The sequence below is a fragment of the Homo sapiens genome, chromosome 2 (genome assembly GCF_000001405.40).
Source record: "Homo sapiens chromosome 2, GRCh38.p14 Primary Assembly".
NCBI lineage: Eukaryota > Metazoa > Chordata > Mammalia > Primates > Hominidae > Homo > Homo sapiens.
In genome coordinates this window covers 44,946,975-44,956,220 of record NC_000002.12, presented here as the reverse complement: position 1 = coordinate 44,956,220, position 9,246 = coordinate 44,946,975, and the positions used below count along the sequence as shown (strand labels likewise).

At 56.5% G+C, this 9,246-nt stretch overlaps 5 annotated features.

The window, feature by feature from the left end:
- Window positions 328-517: a silencer, noted in NCBI's record as "silent region_11437". NCBI's record gives its function as "represses an Ori minimal core promoter by ATAC-STARR-seq in GM12878 lymphoblastoid cells {active_cell/tissue: GM12878}" and the evidence as "EXISTENCE:reporter gene assay evidence [ECO:0000049][PMID:35858748]".
- Window positions 328-1,094: a biological region, named in NCBI's record as "H3K27ac-H3K4me1 hESC enhancer GRCh37_chr2:45182266-45182972".
- Window positions 388-1,094: an enhancer, noted in NCBI's record as "H3K27ac-H3K4me1 hESC enhancer chr2:45182266-45182972 (GRCh37/hg19 assembly coordinates)". NCBI's record gives its function as "activates a minimal SCP1, AML or CMV promoter by ChIP-STARR-seq in primed H9 embryonic stem cells {active_cell/tissue: H9 hESC(primed)}" and the evidence as "EXISTENCE:reporter gene assay evidence [ECO:0000049][PMID:30033119]".
- Window positions 3,955-4,004: a silencer, noted in NCBI's record as "silent region_11436". NCBI's record gives its function as "represses an Ori minimal core promoter by ATAC-STARR-seq in GM12878 lymphoblastoid cells {active_cell/tissue: GM12878}" and the evidence as "EXISTENCE:reporter gene assay evidence [ECO:0000049][PMID:35858748]".
- Window positions 6,239-6,338: a silencer, noted in NCBI's record as "silent region_11435". NCBI's record gives its function as "represses an Ori minimal core promoter by ATAC-STARR-seq in GM12878 lymphoblastoid cells {active_cell/tissue: GM12878}" and the evidence as "EXISTENCE:reporter gene assay evidence [ECO:0000049][PMID:35858748]".

The window sequence follows — 9,246 nt, the reverse complement described above, 5'->3', positions numbered from 1 at the left end:
GCCTATCACCATGGAAGACAGCCCCACACTCCCGCTGTAGGAGACCTAGAGGCATCTATCTGCAAGACAAGAAGTTAATAGTGCCGAAGAAGGGAAATATTAGCATGAGACCTATTGCAAGTCCAGGTGGGCAGCCACGGGATCAAGTAGTAAAGCAAGAGAAAGGAGCTAGAAAGGTGACTCCAAATCCCACAGGCCAGGGTGGAGGGTCCTACCCACGCAAAATGGTGGACTTTGGTATAAGACAGCGCGCAGTCCCTCAAGAGGAGAAGCAGGCTATCCCGGTGGAAGAGGTGTTGCGAAAACTCGAGCAGAAAAGGACAGCGCGGCAGGGCAAGGCCCCCCACACCACCCACGTGCACTACCAAGGCCCGCGGTGCGGAGGGTTCGCATGCTATGCACCATCGCCGCGAGGTGGCAGCAAAAACCCGCCAGTGGCCCCAGAGCGCGCTGCTTTCCGCCTCCAACCTGCAGTGCTTTGCGCCAGGGTGCGCACAGCCAGCGCGAGGGGCGTCCGGCCGCGGAACCGCGGGGTCCAAGGCTGAGCACTGCTGCCAGGCTTCGGGGTCCTCGGAGGCCAAAGAGGGGACTTCCCTGGGTCTCTGGCTCTTGAGAGCTCCCAGACTGGAGTCTGGCAACTTCTTGGGGGCATCATGGAATCTAGCTATCCGACCTGCAGCCTTCCTCAGCTCTCCCATCCCTGGGGGAACGGGTCCACCATACTCCTGCCTCCCCGCTGGCCCGGCGTGAGGGGTTGCGTCCTGGACTCTTCTGCGGGGACAGAGCCCTAGTCCGCCTACATCCTTCACCACATACCTCCTGCTCCTACCCACCGCTCCCGCCAGCACGCGAGAGCGGGTCTGGAAGCTGAGGCTTCCCTCCCTGTCCTGCTCCTGGGTACCTGCCACACACGCGCCCACACAGTCGGAGACAGTTGCGGGCGTGGAGTCACCCAAAGGCCACGCACGCAGACACGCACTGGCACAGATGCGCCCTGGTCGCACCTACACTCCAAGCTCGCTAGGAGCAGATGTGAAAGGCCCAGGGGTGCAATGTGCAATGGAAGAATCGCAGGACTAGGGGCCGAGAAACTTGAGTTTGACTTTGACTCACTCCATTTCTCTGGGTCTCTAAACTCTCGCGTGTCCAATAACAAGATCGCCAAGCTGCCTGGAAGCCGACGCCTCCTCTGCGTGGAAGCGCCGCGGCAGCCCGGAAAAGCCTCTCTGAATGTCCCAAAAGGGCAAATGGAACATTCCCGCGCTGGGTTGGCTTGACCCCTGGAGACCGAGGCAAGGAGGTCGCGCGAAAACGGTGTGCAGGAGGCTGCGCGCACTGAAGTTTCGCAGAGCCTGCGAAGACTCAGGGGTTCGGAGGCGCGCGCGTCCTGGGTCCCTTGCGACACTTCTGACCCTCGGTACCCTTCTCACGGGCCACGCTTCCACTCACCCAGTGCGCTGCTCTCCTCGGGTCACCCCAGTTACTCCTGGAGGATTTGGAGCCTGGGACTCGAGCTTTCACCGTCCTCCCGCACCCCAGTGCCAGCTGTTATTGTGCAGTAGAACAAAGGCCGAAATGGGTGGGTATGGGAGGAGACCTGGCCCTACAGGACTCCCATTCTGGTAGGGAATGGGTTTTGGAACAAAGTGCAAGGGTTTGATTGGTTCGCGGCGTCCACCGACAGACCCCTCTAAGGAGCACGTGTGAGCACGTGAATTGTGAGCGCACAGGAAGCTGAAGGTCGGAGGGCAGCCTATAAGGTCTGCAGCTGGTCATCAAGTCCTCACCATTCCTCCTTGGAAATGCCTTTAACCCATTCTGGCGTCTTAGCTCAGTCCTGCCTATTGGAATAGTTTCCTAGGGGCCTTCCTGTCTACAGCCTCACTGCCCCCGACTACAGTCCTTAAGCAGGACACTGGATATTACCACTTAAGCTTTCATACAGTTTTTTTGTTTGTCTGTTTGTTTGTTTGTTTGACTGTTTTGAGACGGAGTCTCCCTCTGTCTCCAGGCTGGAGTGCAGTGCGGCAATCTCAGCTCACTGCAACCTCCGCCTCCTGGGTTCAAGTGCTTCTTGTGCCTCAGCCTCCCGAGTGGCTGGGATTACAGGCATGTGCCACCACCCCCAGCTAATTTTTGTATTTTTAGTAGAGACGGGGTTTCACCATGTTGGTCAGGATGGGCTCGATCTCCTGACCACGTAATCCGCCCGCCTCGGCCTCCCAAAGTCCTGGGATTACAGGCGTGAGCCACCGCGCCCAGCCACTTTCATACAGTTTTATTTGGCTCCCCAGTACCCATGGGATCAAGGCCACACAACTTGCCTGATCTTGTAATTAATCCCTACTCCCTCTTCCCTCAGAATCAATTACCAACCTCTCAAAAACCCATGGGCCCCACACTACAGTACTCCCGGCGGGCCAGCCACACTGCACTGCTCCCCACTGGACCTGACACCTCCTCCATGCCTTCCCACCTGCCATTCCTGCCTAGAATCTCCTCCACTCAATCCGATTCATCCTTCTGGGTCAGTGCCATCTGCTCAGAGAACTCAGAGAAGCCCTCTCTATCCCCACCGCCAAAGTTGTAGTAATTAATTGCGAAGTTGACACTCCGGGAAACACTGTGTGCAACTCCACGGGGTTGGTTTGTTTTTAAGTGGTGACCTCAACTGTCCCTCCTACTGGATCGTGAGAAACTTGAGGACAGGGCTCAATTGTGCTTGTCCCTCTCCCCTCCATTCTTCGAGAACTTAGTTGATATTTCTGCATCATGCTCACAAGCACTGGACAAGCCCCCGGGCTCATCTGCAGGTAGACTTGTCACCCGCACAAGGTAAATATTTCTCTTGCAATTCATGAGAATCTGCACAACAGTCTCACTGCACACTCAACAACGTTCACATGTATCCACACACTTCACATCCTCGATTCCCAGGCCCACTGGGAAGTGCTGGTGGTTTAAGCGGAGGCCGGTCCGCTGTGGGAGCGGAGGCCCCTGAAATCCCCGCTCTTTCTCCTGGCTTGGTAGGTCTGCCTGCACGTAGCTGCTTGCTGAGCGCTTGTCTCGCGTCTGGTCCTCCTAGGCAGCGCGTAGGAGGCGCGTTCCTGCAAAGTCCTAGTGCAGGTGGCGGGAGCGATGGCGCGCCCAGAAGGGCAGAGCCCAGGGCCGCCCGCTCCCGGTCCTATCCCACTCCCTTCTCCCGCTTTTGCCTCATCTTGCGTGCCCAGAGAGGCGTCTCAGAAAAGTATTTCCCCCGCTATCGGGAGCGCACGGCGAGGAAGACAGAGAAGGTCATCGAGTGTGTTGGTGTAGCCGGGTGAAGGTGGAGGTTGGCTGTGTGACAGTGGCCAAATTATGGCCCTCTCTGAGCTTCCGTTTCACCTCCCGGTATAAGCGTAGCCGCTTCAGCTCAGACACACAGGGGAAAGGCAGCGGTGGCCGGGGCCTGGGTTCCGTGCGCCCGCACATGTACAAGTGTCCGTCGGTCCTCTGTCCTTCCTCCCAGTCGGGCCTGGCCAGGCGGCGCCAGTGTGTCCCGGGCGAGGTAGGGGCAGGCAAAAGGCGGCTGCGCCTGTCCCGGGCTGCAGAGGGAGAGGCGCATACGCAGGGAATTAGCAGCGCTTCCAGTCGTTAAGGGGCCTTGCTAAGATATTCTGTTGAATGGCGGCAAATTAATTATTATGGTAAATATCGCAAAATCCAACAAACCAAAGGCAGTGCGGGCCCAGCCACAGGCCGGGCCATCGCCTGAGGCAGCCCAGCCCCGCGGGAACCGGGTGCGGAGAAAGACGGCGCGGCTGCAGGACCAGGGCATCAGGCTGGGAGAGGCCGGGGCTTCGGCCACAGCGCCTCCCAGCGGCCTGAAAGAAGAAAGACGGAGTCCGAGCCTGAGAGGTGGGGACAAAGGCCCAGCGAGAGAGCGCCGCGAAGGCCGGAGGGCGGAGCGGGGACCAAGGGGCGCGCTCCCCACCGGGCCACGTCCGCAGATCCCGGACCCCTGCCCCGGGGGCCGCGTCCCCCACGCCCCGCCGCGCTCCCCCTCACGTCTGGACCCTGCCTTGGTCCCTCGGACCTCCTGTTTCGGTTCCTGGGCCCCGCACACTCTTCCTGCCTGCAGGGATCCGAGAAGTCCCCAGGGAACTCGCCCCTCCTGCCAAGCCTCATCTTTTCAGAAAAAAATAAAAATAAAAAATAAAAGATAGAGAACAGCCAGTGCCTGGCTGGTCTGTAGCTCCTCCAGCCACACAGCCATTTCCATCCTCAGGCAGAGAGGGCCTCCACCCTGACTGAGCCTGCCGTGAGCAGCCTGGCGGGGCTGGAGTGTAGGCAGAGCCTGGCACATGCATGTGTGTGTGACTTGCCTGTGCTCTCCTTTCTTGCCAGCACATTCTGTAAAGGTCCTCGACGTCTTGACGGGTTAGACTCCTGCAGGTTAAAGCCCTTTTCTTTTCCAAAAAGAGTGTGTGTAGAAACCAGTTAGAGTCGTGGTTTTATTTGTAAAAAGTGGGGAGTCGTTGCTAGGAGTGGAGATATGCTTCTGTCCCTTGCGGCATCCCTGAGCAGAAGTGGGTGGTTGCCTATGCCCACTGTAGAAGGCAGAGGGGTGTGTGTGTGTGTGTGTGTGTGTGCATGCAGAGCAGTGACTGTGTGTGTCTTACGAATGGAATCATATTGGGGGCATCTCTAAGAGTGTGTAGTGTGAGGGGAAAAGCTGCCCCTGAGTCCAGGGAAGGGAGGCATGGGAAGGTGGGTGCTTTCTTGGGTGGGCCTCTTCTGGGCAGAGGAAGCTGCATGACCTCCCCAGCCCACAAGGGGAATGGGTGCTGTTGGGCCCCAAACTGCTGTGCACCCCCAGTATTCGTCCCACTTCCCAAGTCCAGCCGGCCACAAGTCAACGTGCTCCCCTAGGCGCTTTCTTGGAGAAGGAATTGCTCTCCTGCTGCAATGGCACCCTCTCCCCAACCAGCCTTGGCCCTCCCCCTGCTTAAGCCTGGGAAGCTGCTCCCCATCTTCCCTCAGACCCTTCCGGCTCCCGCCCCTTCCCTGTTCTCTCCTCTCCTCACTTTTTGTTTCAACTCCCTCTCCTTTCTCTCCCTTTTCCTTTTGCCTTTATCCTCACTCTATAATTTATAGCCCTCTTCTTCACTCTCCCTTCTTGCTCTGCAGAACAGCATAACATGGGCGTTTAGGGGTGGATTGTAACACAGAGGCCTCTGTTTACCTGCTCACTCCCAACAGCAGGCATGCTTCTCTCAAGGTGCTTATCTAGTTCCCTACCTATCTTCTTTGGGCCCTAGCCTAGTGTGTGTGTGTGTGTTTGTGTGTGTGTGTGTGTGTGTGTGTGTGTGTGCGTGCAATGAATGGGTGGTCTGTGAGTCCCTAGAGTCAAGCTCTGTGGTTTGGAGGTTGGCATGCCTCTGGGTGGCATGTCTTATGTCTCTGGGTTGGCTCACAGGTATGTGTGTGTGCCCGAAGGTTTCCTCTGTGTGTTTGTCATGGTGACTGTGTAGTGGCTGTGTTCTCTGACTGGATTTATTGTTCATTTTCTCCCTTTCTTGTGTTTAAACTTTTGGTTAGCCCCAGCACACTGTGTACTTACAACAGGCTGTGCACTAAATGTCTATTGGTGCTAATGCCATTTTATGCAGATGTGTATTTCTATTGTGTGAATCTGGGTAGCTCTGTAGGAGGGTGCGATTGTGAGCCTGGGCATTTTGTGCGTGCGACTGTACAGATTTGGAGTGCATGCATCCTGGAGAGTGTGCCTGCAGGAAAGGCAGATGAAGGATTCTTGTGTTTGTATCTGAGGACCGGTGTAGAATCCATAAGGGGAAAATCAGAAAGGCAGGCCTTATGTTGTGTAGAGAAGCAGGTCTATGGGTGCTGGGAAACTGCTCTGAGGGCAGGTAGGTGCCTGAGGGAAGGGGCTCGGCTGTGTTTATGATGGCACGGCTGGAGGTGAGGTGTGATATAACATAGAGGGCATGTTTATGTAGATGAGATGAATTGCACATACGTGTGTGTGTGTGTGTGTGTGTGTGTGTGTGTGTGTGTGTGTGTGTGTAGCCTCTGTCAGCCTGGCTGTTCCTGCCCGCTCCCGCCGAGCCCCGCCCGGCACAGTGGAGCTCAATCAGCCGCTGCATGAATACACTCGAATGGAAAGTTGTGCTCAGCTGACCGGAGAAATTGGAGCCGGGCTAGTACTGCTCCCCTCCTCCATGGCTCCCTCTCGCCTGCCCCCGCCCTCCCTCGGGCCAGACGGCCACCGGGGCCCGCACACTGGGGCCAGGGAGCTTCAGCTCAGCTGGGGCCGGAAAGGGCCGGAGCGGTGGGAAGCCGTGGGGGCCTCAGCGCGCGTACCAGGGGGTCGAGCGTCCCGCGGGCCGGGCATCTCAGCTCCAGCGCTGGGGGACAGAGAGGACAAGGGGAAGGCCCGGGAAAGTCCCTGAGGCACAGCCGGTGCTCCAGGTGACGGCCACACAAAGGCTTAGGCGGGACTGACAGGGCCACGGAGGCAGAGGAAGAAGAGAGGGAGAAGAGACTGCTCCAAGACGCCGAGTGCATCCAGTGCGCCACAGGCCTGGGAATGGACTTCGAGCTCCGGGGTCCCGGGTGATGCGCTGGGTCGAGAATGTACCAGGCTGTCCTATTCTCCTTGCAGAAGAACCTGGGGGCCACTCCACCATCACAGCCCCCTCGGCAAGCCCAGGCAAGGGCCTTCCCGCTGCCTCACTGAACCGTCTCCCCGCCCAAAGTCTCAGGCACCCCCAGGCTGGGCCCTTCGTCTTCAACCCCATTCCCAGCCGGGACTGGCCAGACTCGTGCCTCCAGCCCCACTATTGATCGGCATCTCCGCCCCGCGCCGTGGCAGCTTCCGGGTCATTTCATTTTAATCAGTTGTGTGTCTCGCCGGGGATAATCAACTGCACTGGCACTGGGCAGTCGATTCCGCAGGATTCAAGGAGGGCAAGAAGAGAGGCCAGGTGGGGGGCTCAGGGCCAGGGCTAGGGGCAGGGACGGAAGAGGGCTGGGTGCGGAGAGAGTGAGCAGGCCAGAAGGGGTAGACGGGCCTCTTCCCTCAGGCAGGCACATCTAGGGGTCAAGGCTTTGATACAGATTTGCCCAGTTTCACACCCCATTCTGCCTGTTCAGGTTTCCAATGCAAATCTTGGATTGTCATTATTTTTCTTTGAGAAAATAGCCAAGTTGGCTATTATTCCTCAAGCCTCTGGAAACTTACGGTAAGTGACTGAGGTACACAGGAGGTCTAAGCACACAGGGAAGGCTCCGAGCCAGAACACTCCGCTGGGATGCCAGGCGGAAGTGTGCTGCGTGCAGGGTAGTGGGTGCGGACTCACTGGAACGCCAGAAGCAGAGGAGCCAGCCTACTGGCTGCTGCATGGCCCAGACATAGGGGACAGATGGTTAGCACTTAGGCCTGCATATTGGGTCTGACCCAGGCTCACAAGACCCACGAGAGAGCACACACCAATGCACACATTCTCCTGGCCGAGGCACAACCTGCAGCATTCCCAGGAGGTGGGGGCTGTGCAGTGACTGAGATGGCTTTCTGCAGGTGGAACTTCAGCCTGGCCTTGCCCTCAAGCTCTGTCTGAGTGGCCCGTAGGGTGTTGACCGCTTTGGCCAGGGCTTTGAGGGGCCCAGAAAAGACTAGGCCTAGGCCAGCAGCTGGTAAAAGGCAAGATCTGGCCAGAAAGGGGCCTCTATTCTCTCACTCCGATGTTTAAAGGGGCAAAGGCCGAATCAACCACAATATCCCCAGTAAATCAAACAGAATAAAGGATGGACTGGGATAGCCAAAGAGCCCAATCCCCTTCTGCCCTCCAGCCAATGAATACCCATTGAGATCCCTTAAGTCTTAAAGGGACAGGAAGACCTGTTAGAGGTGGGCAGCCTGGCAGTCATATCTAGGGAGTGCCTAGAACAAGGGAACACACACATGTCTACACTAGACCCAAGACCCACAAGACACATGCCCAAGTACCTTGTAGGTGTATTGGAGCCCCCCAATATGCACTCCTTGCAGAACTAAGGACAGAGAAACTGGCTAAGCCATACACAAATACCTGTGCTATGCAGTATACATGAAAACATACTGGACACACACCAATGCACTGTACACACATTTATACCAAACATCACACACACACATCCTTTTGTATGCCCTCAGACCTTGACTGAGGGTTGAAAGCCCAGCATCCAGAATTGCACACATCTACACACCCACAACAAACACACATGTCCTTCCTGCAGGGAACCTATATGTAAGGTCAGAAAGTACAAAGCATAGAGTATTGGTATTCGTGCAGACCTGGATGGAAACACAGGAGATGAGAGAGTGATACATGATAGATAGCAGGATAGACAGATAGACAACAGGCTGCTGACACCCAGTAAGGCCCAGGCCCTCCAAAGCTAAAGGCTGCTGTGGAGTCTGATGGACAGTTTTCTGCAATACAGAAGGAGTGGGCACTGGATGCCCCAAATCTGCTTTCTCTGCACCGTGTGTTGAGATAGGAAATCATTTTAACTTCCAGGTTTGTCTCCTGTCCCCTAGACAAAAAGGCACCTGCTCCTTGATGTCCTCTATCTAGGCAGGCCCTTCCAGGAGTCACCCTCCAGCAGAGCAACTTCTTGCCTTTCATCCGTCAATTCTGGTCAGTTGGCTGAGCAGTGTCCATCCAGACTCTCCACACTGAGGCAGGCACTTCTTTGGGTTTCCAGGCCCAAGCTCTGTGTCAAGTATGTGACTGATTATCTAAAAGCAAAGGTGGGTGACAGAGCTCCTCATCCCAGAACAGAGGCTCAAGTTGGGTAGAATCCAGGCAGTCCTTTTCCCAAATTCCTACCACCTGGTCGATATTGCCTGAAATGTGGCAGGACAAGGAATATTTTCCCGAGCAGTGAACACACACAGAGATTCTGACACCATGTGCCAGGCCACAGAACTTGGGAGCTCTGGAGGTCAGCTGGATGCTCTGGTTCTAAGTAGGGGCGCACTCAGGAACCTTCCCTGCCTGGCAAATGCACGCCCTGGACATGCAAGGTCCCACTGGAACACTCAGGGCACCTCTGGGCCAGACAGCCTCTCTGCCCAGCCTGGCCCTCCTAAACCCCCTGGTGCTGGTGCTGCTGGGGATGGGGACAAAAGGAAATCGGAAGTCAAAATTAGTTTGGAAACGGATGCAAAATTCCAGGCATGTTTCCCCCAATCCTCCTTGC